The following is a 17,210-nucleotide window of genomic DNA, read 5'->3' on the forward strand; positions in this document are numbered from 1 at the left end:
TGTAAAATCTGTGTTTGTTTTGCTTACAAAGAGAAGGTAGTGGCAGAAATCTGAGAGGCAATAATAGCTACTGTAGAAAATTGATGTAGATACCATGACTAGTGAACTCTGTATAGTATTAAATCACCAACTCGAGTGCTAGAAGTCACTTCTATAAATGTTTTACAACAGCCAACTGCAAAATCTCACATGAAAGCTAGGGCATAATAGACCATCCTTAGACAACTAAGCAATTGAGTAGTGAACTGTGACATAATGTGAAAGTGCTGTCATAACTTCACTCTTTTGAGCAACAAGATGTTTCTAGAGCCTTTCATTTGCTTCCTTTTGAAAATGTGTATTTATAGAACTCAGAATTTTATAGACTCTTAAGAGGGTGCCCTCTAGAAATACTGACCACAAATGATGTGGAAGGAAAATAACTCATTTTATCAAGGGAAGTAGAGTTTATGAATATACCAAAAGCCAAAAAGTAAACTTGCGTCTTCTGTTTGGTTGCTTATCATCTCTTTCCACCAGGATATTCTGTGTGGCTCATCTCTTAAAAACTTGTTTCCAGCTGGGGCTACACCTCCACCAAGAGCCTTCAGAGCTCAATTAATTACCTTCCATCACTTTTCTGTGGAACAGAAAAGGAAGATAAACCTATGTCATGCTGCCCACGCTGTTCTTGACTCCCTTTGACCGAAAACCCATCTGTCTTCCTAACCTTTGCTGATGGACTAAAGGAAAGAAGGAAGGATAGGTGATGAAATCTGAAATCTGTGCCTGTCATTGACAGCCTGGATTATTATTATTTTTTTTTAACACAAAGCCTAATTCTTTCATGAAAGCCACTGCAAAGTTTTAGGAAATCCAGGTTTATGAGATTAAATAGGGATTTAAGGAGGAAAAAAGTAAGTAGAGCAACCTGATTTGAGAATAATAATCCTATCTCACTTAGTTGTCACTAAGGTTAAAGAAGATGATGAATGTGAAAATGTTTTGTCAACTTGATAAGCCTATCCAGAGATTAAATATTGTTAAATAAATTGCCAAATAACTAACTGAATGTTATTATATAAATATTGTTAGTTTAATTGCTAAGTGTTTAGGAGATATTAGGACATACCTATAATTTCTTCAGACTATAATAACTCTAATCTGTACTTTTATTGGCACTTGTTTGTAATTCTAGTCAATTCTGGTCTCTTAAACAGAAAGGTAGTGAACTAATGTTGACACCATTTAGTTTATCATTGCTGCTATGGTCTTCTGTATCTCCTGCTTTCAGTCCACACTAAGCCTTGCTGTCAGAGTGTTGCATGGAAAAGAAGATGAGCTTTTCAGTGCTCGTCTAGGTTTGAAATACAGTTTCATCATTTACTGTGTAACCATTGCCAAGCCACTGAATTTCTTTGACCTTTAGTTTTAGATAACATTTAAGTTTGCAGAGTGACAGTAATTTGAAAAATATATGTGAATGATAATACTTAGATTTTTAAAGAACCTACTCTTTGCCAGACACTACATTTGACACTGCATGTATGTAAATATAAAATGTCTTAATTCTTATTATAACTTCACACGGTAAAAAGTGTTACCTTTTTTACAGATAAGAGAACTGAGGCTCAGTGGTATGAAAGGTGTCTGGCTTAATGTCTGGCACACAGAAGATGCTCAGTAAATGGTGAATATTCTTATGTGGATTTTATTATGTGTTTCCTATTTAGAAATTTCCACTAGTGCCTATCAAACTTTTAATGTACACACCAATCATCCAAGGACCTTGTCAAAAATGTAGTTTCTCATTCAGTAAGTTTGCCCAGTGCTGCTTCTTACTGGACCACACTTTGAGGCCCTCAGTGACTCCATAGTCTGTAATAGTAGTTCTATCATGGTGATTCTAGTTGTTCATTAGATTCTGATTCATCTGGTCTGATTTGGGATCTAGGCCTTTTTGTTGTTGGGGCAGGGTGGGAGTTCCAGAAGCTGTTCAAGCTCTTTTTAAAGCAGTGGACTCCTTTTATTCAAAGAGTATTTAAAGAAATTATGTACTGACAAGGTACACAAACACAGCGGAGTTTGTCTTGTTGAATCTCAGCTGGGGAGGGAGCAGCGAACTTAATGACCCCAAAAGACCTCAGTGGAGCCCTGCAGCTCCTAGGAGCAACAAATTTGAATATCACGGTTCTCCAGAGTACTTTTGCAATTCTTTATTACGTCATTTAAGGCCCTACACTATCTAACCTCAGCCATCCTGGTATATCTGCTGTTCTTCCAAAGGGCAACCCGCTTTCTTCTCCCTGCCTTTTTCCATGAAGTGCCTTTAGCCTGTTATGCTTTATCTCCCTATACCAGTTAAAATCCACTTCACCTTTCCAGCCCAGCTTAATTGCTTAATTGCCACCCCTTTTATGAAGCCTTTCCCTGGAGGAGATGTAGTTCATGTCAGAACCTCCTGTGGGACTTGTTCAAACCATATACTTATCCTGAGAGAACCTAATGTTTCTTTTTCTCAGGTCGGTGCTGAAATGAAACATGGTACTACTGTGGTATAAGACAGGGTGAAGAAGCTCACCTACCAGGAAATGAAAACTTTTTTTTTTACAGGGTTCCCATAGCATCTTGATTATGAATCCTGTGGAACAAATACGTCTTACCTTCTCTCTTGTTGCCCAGACAGGAAGCCCTTTGGGAATCAAGAATGTTCTTTATCTTGCCTAGATCACAGTACAGTGATGAGCACTGATGCAAGATGTGTATTACTCCATTTTCGTACTGCTGTGAAGAAATACCCAAGACTGGGTAATTTATAAAGAAAAGAGGTATAATGAACTCACAGCTTCACATGGCTGGGAAGGCCTCACAATCATGGCGCGAGGTGAAGGGGGAGCAAAGGCAGGTCTTACATGGTGGCAGGCAAGAGAGCTTATGCAGGGGAACTGCCCTTTATAAAACCATCAGATCTCGTGAGGCTTATTCACTGTCAGGAGAACAGAATGGGAAAGACCCACCCCCATGATTCAATTACCTTCCACTGGGTCCCTCCATGACACATGGGGATTATGGGAGCTACAGTTGAAGAAGAAATTTGGGTGGGAACACAGTCAAGCCATATCAGTGGGTAACTACTGAAAATAAGTCTCAACACCATATAGCTAGTATTTTAGTCCTGTGGGAGTCTTGATTTCCTGAAGTAATCATAGAAAAGTTTTTAAGTGAGTCCACTTAACACTACCTTTTTTTTTTTTTTTTTTTTTGAGATGGAGTCTCGTTCTGTGACCCAAGCTGGAGTGCAGTGGCACGATCTTGGCTCACTGCAACCTCCACCTCCAGGGTTCAAACCTCCCAAGTAATCTCAGCCTCCCAAGTAGCTGGGAGTACAGGTGCCTATAACCACACCCAGCTAATTTTTGTATTTTTAATAGAGACAAGGTTTCACTGTGTTGGCCAGGCTGGTCTCGAACTCCTAACGTCAAGTGATCCACCCACCTCGGTCCTCCCAAAGTGTTGGGATTACAGGCATGAGCCTCCACGCCTGGCCTCAACACTACCTCTTGTTGGCAATCAATCAATATCTTTTATTGTTGGATTATTATTTACAGAGCCTATTTTAGCCATCTAGCACTTTTCTTCTTGAACAGGTCTGACATTTAGCCTTTCTTCCCCTATTAAAACAAAAACAAAAACAAACAAAAAAAAAACCTCTCTTGTTTTTGTTGAAGTAGTAATGTGTGTATATCATGGAGGTGAGAGGATTAATTGTAAAGCCACTGTTTCAGAGTATGTGGGAACTTTGGCCTGGCGCTGCCTTCAGATGTTATAGGATGGATGATGCAAAACTGAAGGTATTCTTCACTGAATTATAAACCAAGAATGGTGGGACTTATCAGGTCATTTGTGCATTTCTTTCATGATCTCAGAATTTAATGGGGAGAAGTATGGGGGACAGAGAGAGACATTAGCATGCAAGATGTCATACAGCTGGTATAGAAAATGGAAATTAGAGCCTTTAAAGAGAAACTCTTACTGTTTCCATGGTATAAGTGCAGAGGTCAAGGAGGAGGTGAGCCCTACTAGTTTCTTGCTTTGCCTGGTAACAACAGTAGTGTCATGGGATCCTTCAGGTGTCGCTTCACCAGCTGGAAACGTCTATGACCAGCAGCGCCTCTGCTTGAGTTTTGCTCATGCCTGCTGGATTTGTTCCACCCACTCGGCCCAGCAGGCTGCACTCAGCTTGCACTACTGGCCTGGATCCCACACCTGCCAAGGGTGAGCCAGGCACAAAGTGGCGAGGGGTGTGTGAGTGAGCAATCATGAGGTCTGCCCACTGTGCACAGCCAGGTACACTGGCTTCAGTGGCAGGGAAGGCAGCTACAGGTGCCAGCTCCGTGCAAGGCTGTAGCTGTACCAGATACACCACAAGAGGCTTCCACTGCAGGCACCCACATCCAGACAAGGGGAATGCAGTGGCACCTGAAAGCTCAGAGATGCCAGGAACTTCAGAGCCCCATAGAAGGTATTACAGTGTGTCACAGCTCTGGCTTAGGAAGCCCTGAGATCTGGGTTCCCAGGAAGGCTGCAGCTCTTCTTTCTCTTTGCCCACAGCATGGCAAATGGAGGAAAGCATGTTTTCTCGGGGTCATGTTTCAGCTAGTTTGTGCTGCAGCTCTTTCAGTCCCACCGTCCTGCTCCGGCCCATGGCTCCTGAGCTGACCTGACCCCACCACTGCAGGTTTCAAGTTCTTGTCCCACGTCTGGGAAGAATGAAGTTATGCAGACAACTGGAGGGTGAGCAAGACAGAGAGAAGCTTTATTGAGTGACAGAACAGCTCTCAGGAGACTCAAAGTGGTAACTCCTTTCAGCAGGCAGGTTGTACCAATGAGTATCTGAGTCTGGCTGAGTCTGGGGTTTTTATTTGCTCAGAATGGAGGAAGTAGGTGCTGACTGGTCCATGGTCGGGCCTGGAAAAAGCACCATTCGACTGGCTAAAAGGCGTCAATGAAGTTCTCACTCTAAGTTGCAGACTCCACCTTGGATTGGCAGCCCAGTCCCCAGACTTCAGGCTGTTCCTGGCTTGAAGGTGGGATTTCACTGGGGTCCCACCACCTCCCACATAGGCACCTGTCTGCCTCCCACCACCATCAACATGCTATCTGTGGTGCCCAGGCTGTCTATGCTGAGGGGTGCCTGCAGGCCCATGCTGAGCTTCCCTCAATACCCCCGGCCTCCCTCCCTGAGTTCGTCAGAACCCAAAGCTTCAGAGGCGGCCAAGGTGGTGGGGGCAGGGGGCTGGCATGACAGCACCACCCCAAGTGTGTGCACACCCAGCTCGGTCGCAGCAGTGCCCAGGCTCAGCTACAGCTTTGCTCTGCACTGGAGCAGGTGCTGGGATTGGGAAGAGGCCAGGGAGTAGGAGCAGGCACTTCCAAGCCTGCAGGGGCAGGGGGCTTTCCAGGTCCTGAGAGCACAGGGATATCCGAGTCAGAACCACTGCTGGGCAGCTGCAGCTGCGCCTAGAAGTGCAGGCTCCCACCCTACCAACTCGGTAGGGTCCGGGGCTCCCACTGGGATCACCTGTTCCCTGCCCCTGCCAGCTTCACAGAGCATGCAGCCCCAGATGTGCCTCCCCCACTGTGGCCAGTGTCTCCACAGTGGCCAATCCGGTTGCGCTACTACCGCCATCAATAGTATAAACTTACATAGCCATTACTATGAGCCAGGCACTGTTCTAGGCACCTTACATATATTAATTCATTTGATGCTCACATCAACTTTCTGGAGTAGCTACTTTTTCAGAGATGGACAACTGTAACATTAAGAAGTTAAGTAACTTGCTCTGAGTTACAAGGTAAGTGGGACTGCCAGGATTTGGACGCTTCATCTCTGGATCTGAAGCATACTTTCTTTACCACCATGTTACGGTAATAGATTCATGTTTTACAAAAGATATTTCTTTATTATTCTTCAACAAGCATTTATTAAGTGTCTCTGTGTGCAGGTCACTTTTGCTGTTAGTCTTCTGGTTGAATTGTCTTCCACTTCCTCTGCTTTGATAACGTTGGCTTCCAGACAGCGTGGTAGAAGAGACAGTGTTGATGGGTCTTGGAGCTAGATGATTGTGTAAGGAATATTTAAAAAAAAAAAAATGCAGGTAGTAGGATGTCACAACCAACCTTTTTAGGAATAAACTAGACAACTGTATGAAGAAATTGTTTATTATTTTCATAGCCAAGAAACAAAAGATGTTCTCAGCCAAAGAGAAGTATATTGAGTGTCTTGTAGATATTTAACCTACCTTGGAAACAACTTGTCTTGATAATAACTCTTTATACAGATTACATTTCTTTTTTTTTTTTTTTTAATTAGACTTTAAGTTCTGGGATACGTGTGCAGAACGTGCAGTTTTTTGTTACATAGGTATACCAGTGCCATGGTGGTTTGCTGCACCCATCAACCTGTCACCTACATTAGGTATTTCTCCAAATGTTATTCCTCCGCTAAGCCCCCTACCGCCCCGCCGACAGGCCCCGATGTGTGATGTTCCCCTCCCTGTGTCCATGTGTTCTCATCGTTCAACTCCCACTTATGAGTGAGAACACAAATTACACAGCTTAACTAGTCTGTCTAAGATAGTTAACTGTCCCTCAGATCTGCCCCATCTTAACTTCTAAATGGAATTTTTACTGTGATTACTTTTGTAAATATTAGAAAGTAATAATTATGCAATTAGAATGATACCGGGAAGCTTTACATTTCACCGTGTATGAGTGGTAACATTTTTGAGAATTGAAAATTTTTGAGAAGCGATTTGGCTTCCTGAAAACTGTGTAGGGGCAGCAATGGTTTACCCTCTTGTCAGAAGCTTGTTTATACTGCAGATAAGATCGGTAGATACATTAAAACTCCACAGTTTCCCTGCCTAACAGGTGGGAGGTGGGGGCGGAATTAATTTAAGAAATATTCTTTGCTACATTTGCTAGCTCATAGGCCCAAGTGTTCTTACAGTACAGATAAGAGAGGCTATTTCTGGAAGCCCTGAGTACCTTGAGGCCTTTCATTACATATTTGAAACATGCCCAGGATGAAAAGGTTGAAAAATATACTCAGATGCTCATCTTAATCTCTGGTGTCCTGTCAAGCAGGGTAGTTTATCATAATGGTTACCTTTCTGGTTTTTTTACTTCAGTCTTCGTATCTAATTGGCAGATGTAGTGACAGGATAAGAGTCTTCACTTTAGAATTAGAGCAGTGGTCCCCCACCTTTTTGGCACTAGGGACCAGTTTCATAGAAGACAGTTTTTCAACAGACGGCATGGGTCGGGGAGATGGTTTTGGGATGATTCAAGCACGTTACATTTATTATACACTTTATTTATATTATTACATTGTAATATATAATGAAATAATTATATAACTCACCATCATGTAGAATCAGTGGGAGCCCTGAGCTTGTTTTTCTGCATCTAGGTGGTCCCATCTGTGGGTGATGGGAGACAGTGTCAGGTCATTAGGTACTAGATTCTCATAAGGAATACACAGCCTAGATCCTTCACATGTGCACTTCACAGTAGGGTTTGCATTCCTGTGAGAATCTATTGCCACCGCTGATGTGACAGAAGAGGACATTAGCATGCAAGATGTCATACAGCTGGTATAGAAAAGGGAAATTAGAGCCCGTAAAGTGAAACTCTTACTGTTTCCATGGTATAAGTGCAGAGGTCAAGGAAGAGGTGAGCCCTGCTAGTTTCTTGCTTTGCCTGGTAACAACAATAGTTTCATGGGATAATGCGAGTAATGCGAACAATGGGGAGAGCCTGTAAATACACATGAAGCTTTGCTCACTCACCTGCTGTGTGGCCTCCTTCCTAACAGGCCACGGACTGGTACTGGGAGTGGGGGACCCCTGGATTAGAGGGTTCAGGTTTTCTTCTCTGGGTGTGACCTTGAGCAAAGCACTTCACTTTTCTGACCCTTAATATTATCGCCTTTGAAATGAAGGCCTTCAATGGAAGTGTTCAGCGGGGAAGGAGCCTTTTCATTTTTCCTAAGTATTCCTTTCTTTCCCCTTCCCCCCATATGCATGCTGAGAATCACTGCTGAAGTGAGTCATTTTTACTGCAAGGAAAGGAAGGTATAGTGGAAAAGGGAAAAAAATGTTGAGAACCACACAGCTCATTTCTGGAGTCCTTTCAGCTAATTAAAGGATTGCAGATATTATAATTCAGTATTTTAATTCTGATTGATTTTATGCCTAATTGTCCAAGTGAATGGATTTCTAGTCCAGTTCTAATGCTTGCTTGCTTCTGTGTTATAAAAAAATTGAACTCTAGATGGTTTCCAAAGTCTTTATAATCATAACCTATTTCTAACAACCTATGTATATACATGTTGAACATCTGAAATTTGAAAATTTTAAATCTGAAAAACTTCTGGTCCCAAGCATTTCAGATAAGAGATACTTAACCTGTAAAAAGTAAGACTTAGTTCTTGTTGATTCCGTGGTTGGTCTTTATGTTTACAAGTAAATGCATATTATAAAAATGTAGCTTAAAAAGAAAAGGAAGAATATACAGTTTTTCCCTGTAGTCTTTCTTCCTGCTTCCCAGTTTCTCTGCTTATCCCTGCTCACTACTTTATACAGTTATGTCTCTTAAAATTTTAAGTCTGTTGGCATAGTTGTGTACTCATTGCAAGGTATCCACACATTGGGAAAATTAAATATACACGCACGTAACACAAAAAGAGGCAGGGAAGTCAAGGAGTGTCATGAACTTACTGAGGAAGTCTTCCTTTCTCAGTGACTCATAGAAGGCTCGTTTACTCTCTAAGCTTGCTGGCTACTGCTTTCCCTGGGAAAAGGAAGTATTATGATGATTAAGTAGTAGTTATTTTTTCATTTAAAATATTCTTTTTCTTCTATTTCTTACTCTCTGCTAAGTTGTTGACAGTGATAACAAAGGGTACAGAGTAGGTAACAATAGTGACTTTAAAATGATATTTGGTGAAAGATAGCCAAAATCATTTTTTTCATCTTTACATCTCAAATCTGTAAAGTGTGATTGAGGGTAAATATCATTCCCATTTATTAAGCATTCACTGACAAAAAAGTACAAAATAATTATTTTTCTTGGAATATTTCAGGAGAATTAGAACCAGATGTTTAAGGACTAGGAAGAAGCCTTATGGGGGATAAAATTAACAGTCCATTTCTGCATGGAGTTTAGTGTATGAAATGGGTCTTTTCTATCAGCGCTATTATATCCTAACTTCCTAAGATGTTTTGGTAGACTTTGGCAGTATTGGTTTTTTAAAAAAAAATTAATGAATACAAATACAGGGAATCTCAGGAGTCTATGGAATACTAGTCTTCATTTGTCCTCCTCTCAGACACTACAGTACTGGCCTGTTTCTGAACACCCTCTGGGGCATAGGGAATGCCTTTTCACTGTCAGTATAGAGTTCTTTTTTTCCTTTGATCCAGTTAATGCTGTTTCTTAATATGTCTTCTTCCCCCAAAATTAGAGGCCTATGTCTATGTTTTTATAACGTTTATATTTGCACAGAATGTTACCACTTCCAAAGGAGAACCTAGTACAGCCTTTAGGGGATCAGAAAGGTTGCAGCCAAGTTAAGAACTAGGGGTCAAATAGAATGGTCAGACCTACAGAACATCTTATGCAAAAGCCAGGAGACAAGAAAGAGCCCAGCTCTCTTGAAAGCTCTGCAAGTAATTCCAGTATGATTGGAGTAATAGAGTTGAAGGGGAGCTTTGGGATGGCAAGGGATGGGACCAGAAGTGTAAGCAGGAGCCAATTCTTTATGAAAGACTTTGTATGCTGCAAAGGACTTTGGGCTTGATCGTGAAGAACCTAGAGAAAGCAGGGAAGCAAAAGATCCTACTTAAAGGAGTTTCTGGAAATTGCCCTAGCTGCAGTTTGGTAAACAGATTGGAGGGAAGCACAACTGGAGGCAGGGAAACCATGCAAGATGCTGGTGCCATAATCTAAATGAGAGCTGATGCGGCCAATAATCAGAGTACAGAGATAACAATGAAGTAAGATTCAACAGGATTTGGGGGACTTAGAGCAGAGGAGAAAAAAGAGGCATGGTCAAGGATGACTCTCAGATTTATGACCAGATTAGAGATGCTAACAGTTTGGTAGGTGATTGTCAAAGGTAGGTAATGAGATACCCAGAATGAAGGTGAAGAGACTAGGTAGCTGAGGGTAGAACCCCTAAGTAGGCAGACATTGAAGAGGACAAACAACATGGAGTAGAACCCTAAATTAGAGGGAGACTGTCACTAGAGAAACACCTTCATTATTGTGTTGTATGCCAGAAGCTCAATATCCCTGCAGCTAGCTTCCAAAGGGACTTTGGACATAGGTGCAATATATAGTTTGAATGTGAACAATGTACTTTCCCACAGGAAGGATGAATTCAGTTACATGGACTCTGCTTATAAGCAAGGATTGCTAAAGCTTTTGAAAAATCCCCTCATCTTCTTCTCACTACCCTATTCCCTGGTAATTTCAGGTCAGTTCCCTGGACTTACAGGGACTGAACACCTATTCTTCAGACAAGATACTCCCTACCTGATCAATCACACACATACTTTAAGAGAATTTCACTGGGTTGTAGGATTAGCAGACAGCAATTCTCACTTGCTGTGTAGTATGATTAGATTTTTTAAACACACAGTTTAGGTATCCATTACCATTAAAAGTTTATTTTCAGCTAGCTAATTCCATGAATACTAATTTTAAAAAGCCCATTCCCCTTTGACTTCTTCTAGTTATGCCATCAATTATAATCCCTTCAATCAAGATTTAGACTTAACAATATACATAGCTTATGTTTTTTCAGCATTTGATATGTTCAAGCAAGGTTCTAAGCACTTTTTTTGTAATAATACCATTAAACCTCCCAATAACCTCCCAACTTCTTTGATTCATGATGTAGAAATATAGTGTGAGCTATGTATGTAATTTTAAATATCCTAGTAGCCACATTAAAAAGAAGAAAAAAGAAATAGGTGAATTTTATTTTAATACATTTTTAGCCCACCATTTCAACCTGTAATTATTATTAAATAATTATTAAATAGATAAATAGTAATTATTAAAATTACTAATGAGATATTTTACTCTCTTTTGAGGTACTATTATCTCATTTTACTTAAGAAGGGATTGAGGCACAGAAAGGTTTAGTGAAAAGTGGTGGCAAGTCAGACACATTCTTTCTGTGGAGCCAGAATCCCAACATTGCCGAGGCATCCTTCCTCTTTACCTGTCCCAAAGTCAGTGTTAAGTGAAAAAGCAGTAGACACAGCCAAAAACTCTTGGTCTTAGAATCACAGGTGTGGCACAGCAGATTGAAAGTATTCAGTATATCTAAAGCATCTTATGATCTTTAAGATGCTAAGTAAAGACAGCGAGAGCCTATTTTCATGATTTTTATTGCATGTAATATTTCAGCTGTACATAGGGGCTCATCCACTGTAGGCTGCAGCATGGGAAGCTGAACACAGTTTGATTCTGTTGCAGAATTTCTCCTGAAGCAGCAACCTTGGGCATTCAGCCAAATCGTAATTTGCTGATATTTTTCATTCTAAAAGATTTACCTCATTGTGTTTTTATTTTGAAATTTAACTATGAAAGCTTTAGGTTTTTTTTCTTATTTAAAAAATAAAATCTGAAAATAAAACAGTAAGGGAATTGATCATTTTCAGAATGTTGCAAGTGGGAAAACATTACTTAATAACCTAATACCTGAAAATCCTGTTGTTAAATAAACATTCTATTCATTGATAATTTGGATTTCCTAAGAGTGGCAGCAGTGGATATACATGATTTCTAAAGTTCTGCTATATCTAAATATACATCATAAGATTAGGTTACAGAATCATTATTTTTTTTTGATGTACACATCTTTGTAGCCTTGTTTTTCAGTCCTGAAACCATTCTTATAAATTTACAAAGCAGTCAACCTCTTTGAGTGTATTTTTGATCATCTGCAGCGTGTAACAGCAAGCACAACAGCAACTGACATTTGGAGGGTTACTATTTTCCAAGTTCTGTGAGTACAGTTCTACTAAAAATTTACAAGATTTGTGCTATAATGATCTCATTTTGCAGTCAAGGAAACTAAGACATAGAAAAATTACACATTTACCCAGGTCCTAACAGGCTTTAAATGCCAAGGCTAGGATTCAGACAACTTAGTCTGACTCCAGAGCCTGTTTATGTTCTTCATCATTGCTCTGTACTGCAAGTGTCCTCTGGCACCAAATTTTATTTGTTCAGCTTGAGAGATAAGTGATCATTAAAAGATTAAAAGATTTCTTTCTCACTTCTTGATTCATGATACAGAAATATGATGTGAGCCATGTATGTAATTTTAAATCTCCTGACAGCCAGACTAAAGGAAAAAAATAAGCAAAGCATATTTTCATACATCTTTACGCCAATACATTCCAAGTATTACCATTTCAACATGTAGTTGTTCATTAATAATTATTAAATTAATAGGTAAATAGTAATTATTAAAATTATTAATGAGCTATTTTACTTTCTTTTGCATTAAGTCTTCAAACTTAGGTATATATTTTACACATACAGCACATTTCAATTTGCCCTAGCCACATTTCAAGTGCTTAGTAGCCACATGGCTACCATATTATACAGCAAAGTTTTGGATGTTGGGTTCTCAACTGGTACATATCCAAATAGGAGTGGGGCAGAGGGCTGTGTAGTTCAAGAACCACTGCTGTAAGCTTTGGGATTTCAAGTGATACATTTCTAAAATGTTAGAAGAGTCCAGGTTGCTAAAACCCAATTTTTATATGAGGGAAGTAGTATTAGTTTTATATGCTTTTTTCTTTTTTTTTTGAGAGTCTCACTCTGCCACCCAGGCTGGAGTGCAGTGGCGCAGTCTTGGCTCACTGCAACCTCCACCTCCTGGGTTCAAGCAATTCTCCTGCCTCAGATAGTATCCCATCTTCTATCTCCTGGGATAGGAGTATTTCAGATACTCCTCCCGAGTAGCTGGGATTACAGGCGCCCACCACCACACCTGGCAAATTTTTGTATTTTTTTTAGTAAAGATGGGGTTTCACCAAGTTGGCCAGGCTGGTCTCAAACTCCTGGCCTCAAATGATCTGCCCGCCTCAGCCTCCCAAAGTGCTGTGATTACAGGCTAGTTTTATGTGCATTTTAAAATACCAGTCTGTTTTCAAGATAATTTGTTGCTACTGGCTAAGATTTCTTAAAGTGGCACACTTTGACAGCATAAACCAATTCAGAGTGATAATATTAGCTGTGTTATTTTAGTCCACTGTTAATAACTACATAGACAGCTGACTGACTTCAAAGAACCAATAAAACTTGGAGTTCTGACTGAGAGCCAAATAAAACTTGGAATGGGCAAAAATTGAGTTTATGTTATCTGCAGACATTGCCCTTCTTGGTGAGATACTGCTGTCTTCTGCTTCAGAGTCCCTTCCTCAGCCACACTATTTGGTAGTGACTCCTTATTTAGCCTATATCTTGTAATTTACTGTGGTTACCATTCTTGGGAGGCCATTTTAAGATTTCTTAAAGTGACCCAGAGAAATCGTAGCTTGGTATTTACTAAATGTGTTTGTGTATGTTATTTCATAGCTGTATACGCTCACCTGTGTGTACTTTTTAACTGAATTTATTCATCTACCTTGAAGTAATGTTGTAACTATAAACCTGTGATTTTCTCTACTTTTAAGCTCTTCCTTCTGATAAGCTTATCTATTCATATTGGGTTTAATTATAGCTCAGGGCATAACCATGTGTATTATTCATCTGAGTGAGTGAGCTTGTCTGGCAACAAGAGGCTGTTGTTGCCAAAGCTTTATTGTCATCTGGGCTGAATATACTCTGTCTATGCCTCATTGCCAGCCTCAGGAAAAGGAGGTAATGGGGTGATGGGGGAGGAATGCTGTACTCTAGTCCCTTACACCACTGCTTCTCAATATATTCCAACCCTTTGCAATAAGCTAGGATAACTGTGATTTTATTTACTTCATCCTTTTTTAAACAAGAGAAATCAAACACTAGAAATAAAATGTAACTCTCCTTCATTTCCTATCTCTACATCTGTTTCCTCCCATCTCCCCATTCCACCTCATCCCTTGTTGTTCTCATAACCACTATCATGAATTTAGGTTTATCTTTCCAGTTAATTTCTTAAAAGACTTTGACATAGATATGTATCCATAAATAATATAAAATATTCATACAGTAGGACCTGTAAATTCATACAGTAGGATCTTTTTTTTATTTATACAGTAGGATCACATTGTACATATGCAGCAAGTTGCTTTTCTCACCATATTGGTAGACCTTTGACATAATTTTTCTTAATATAAGAATTTGGTACCTATGTAATAACGTATCTAACACATGGTAGGTGAGAAAACCTAGTAATAAAACAGAAAGCACCTGAATCCACTGCACACACTGAGAAGTGAAACATACCCAGAACCATTGAAACTCCAGTGTGCTGCTTCTCCAACCTCTGCTCCTACCCAGGAAACCACTCTTCTGAACTTTTTTCTTACTGGTTTTCTTTTCTTACCTCATATTTATGTGTCCCTCAGTAGTATATGTCCCTGTTTGCTTGTTTTTAAGCTTTGTAGAAATAGTATCCTACTGTATAGATTCTTTTTAGTCTTAATTTTTTATTAAATGTATTTTTAAGATTCATTCATGTTAATCTGTATATTGTCACTGCTATATAGTATTCCTTTGGGTGGATTTACCCATTTTTCTGTCAGTAGCCATTTGTGTTGTTTCCAATTTTGCTATTATAAATAGTGCTTCAATAAACATTATTCTCAATGTCTTCTGGTGATACACACATGTAAAAGTTTCTCTGTAGTGTATACCTGGGAGTATAGTTGCTATGTTGTAAAATAGGTGTACAGTTGACCCTTGAACAACTCAGGGTTTAGAGGTACCAGCCCCCTGTGCCATCAAAAATTCATGTATAATGTTTGACTTTCTCCAAATTTAACTACTAATAATACCCTACTTTTGACAAGAAGCCTTACTCATAACATAAACATTTCAATTAATACATATTTTGCATGTTATATGTATATATGCTGTATTCTTACAATAAAGTAAGCTAGAAAAAAGAAAATATTAAGAAAGTCATAAGGAAGAGAAAATGCATTTACAGTATTGTACCGTGTTTATTGTTACCCTGAGTTTACATCATCTGTTTACAAGGTGAAATGGCAGCTAACCACAACTACAGACCTCAATCTACAGTGTATATCAAGTAATTCAACTTTTTCTTGTAATGGCATGACTTTTCTCTGCTTCTTGGGACTACTTCCAGAATCACTAGTGGCCCTTCGTATGGATCCCATGGTGTTATTTAAGGTTTACGGTATTGCACAAACACAATGAAAAATATGCGAGAACTGAGAGAGAGCACTTTTTATGGCAATACGCAATTTGCTGGAGAGATGAACTGCTCATGCAGAGATGATTTTTGTCACGTGGCATTTTAGGCATTTTAAGCAGCTATTGGCAATAGCTGAGTTCATTGCAATAGCAACAGGAGGTGGCTACAAAATTATTACAGTAGTACAGTATGTATTATAGTTACTTTTATGCAGTTATGATTTAATACTCTATGTTTGTGTTTGCTTACATTTCTTTTAAAATGCTCATGGCATCATGTATGGTTTGTGGGTATAATTTTAACTTTGTAAGAGATCGGTATATATTTTCTGGTAGTAAATAAGAAAAACTAATATCTGTGTATATTTTGTGCACTCATGACGTTCCTTTTTCTTAATTTTTCAATATTTCTAGGCTAGTGCGTTGTCAGCGAGTTTTTTCAAATTGTCACAAATCTCAAATTTTTCTAATGTATTTTCTTGAAATTTAGTTCATCTAAGTTGACCCACGCAATGCAGACCCTGTTGTTCAGGGGTCAACTGTATATTCAACTTAACTAGATGAGCCTATATTCTCATCCGAAGGAATTACTCATACTCATCAGCAGTACATAGGAGTTCTAGTTTTTCCACATCCTCATCAACATGTGGTTTTGTCAGGCATTGATTTTTGCATTTGCATTTTGTAAAATAATATTACTGAATTTTGATTTTCAGTTTCATTTCCCCGATTTTGATGATATTGAGCATTTTTCATATGATTATTGGCCATTTATGTTTCCCTTTTTTTGGAAATGTCTATGTCTTTTTTAATAGAGTCTTTTTTTAGTTGATTCTTAGGAACTTGTGTATTCTCAACACTAGTATTTGGTCACTTTTATATGATCCAAATATCTTTTCTGTTTGCAGCTTGCCTTGTCACTCTCTTCAGTCAAACTCTAATATTTTGACTTTTGCATTTAAATATTTAATCCATCTGCAACAGCATTTGTTTATTTACTGAGGGTAAAAATCCAGTTTCTCTGTTTTTCAAATATAAAAACTTTTCCTAGTCCCATCAGTTGACATAAATCAGGTTTTCATATATGTGTGGAAAAGTTTGAGGAATTTCTTTGAGCTTCCGAAAAAATTTTAAAATCAACTTGTCGAGTTTTGGTTTTAAAAAGCAGTTGGACTTTTTAATTGGAATTATGATGAATCAATTTGGAGAAACTGACATTTGATATCAGGTCTCCCTACCCATAAACTTGGTATCTCCCTCCATTTATTTAACTCTTATGAGTACTTTTCAATAAGTTTTATATAATTTTCTCCATAAAGATCTTACACATCTTTTATGACTTTATTCATAGCTTCCCTACAAGACCTATTGCAACTCATTTAAAAATACATTTTCTAGGGGCCAGGTGTGGTCCAGTGATGCATGCCTGTAAACCCAGCTACTTGAGAGGCTGAGACCCAAGAATGGCTTGAGCCCATTCTTAGGATTAGCTAAATCCTAATCTCATTTTGCCCTTCTTTTCACCTGAGAGAACTAATACAATTCACTCGACTCATGTGGGCCATATTGTTTTCAGCAAAATTCTCTGAAACTCAGAGACATGTGTACTGCTAGTAGCCATGTGGCTTCTTCACTTGCTTTGTTATTAATTCATCATCATCCAACATACTGACTTAAGAGGCACTAAGGACAAGGTACAACCTGTTCCTCAAGCACCTTCTAGGGAGGGTAGAAAGAAGCATTAGTTGCAAAACACAGTTATAAAACAAAATGATACA

At 39.1% G+C, this 17,210-nt stretch overlaps 1 protein-coding gene across 4 annotated transcripts in view, besides 2 other annotated features; it reads left to right on the top strand.

Moving 5' to 3' along the window:
- The window catches only part of UBE2E2 (ubiquitin conjugating enzyme E2 E2), a 388,828-nt gene that overhangs the window by 278,773 nt on the left and 92,845 nt on the right, over nt 1-17,210 (top strand). The window lies entirely within an intron of this gene.
- Nucleotides 2,015-2,184: an enhancer, noted in NCBI's record as "experimental_68746 CRE fragment used in MPRA reporter constructs". NCBI's record gives its function as "activates a minimal promoter by MPRAs in K562 erythroleukemia cells, with activity observed for the non-introgressed 3:23525461 or rs17013344 variant allele {active_cell/tissue: K562}" and the evidence as "EXISTENCE:reporter gene assay evidence [ECO:0000049][PMID:34662402]".
- Nucleotide 2,100: a transcriptional cis regulatory region, noted in NCBI's record as "Neanderthal adaptively introgressed variant 3:23525461 (GRCh37/hg19 assembly coordinates) or rs17013344 in the experimental_68746 CRE". NCBI's record gives its function as "modulates activity of the experimental_68746 enhancer by MPRAs in K562 erythroleukemia cells {active_cell/tissue: K562}" and the evidence as "EXISTENCE:reporter gene assay evidence [ECO:0000049][PMID:34662402]".

Source organism: Homo sapiens, chromosome 3 (assembly GCF_000001405.40).
Source record: "Homo sapiens chromosome 3, GRCh38.p14 Primary Assembly".
Classification (NCBI taxonomy): Eukaryota; Metazoa; Chordata; class Mammalia; order Primates; family Hominidae; genus Homo; species Homo sapiens.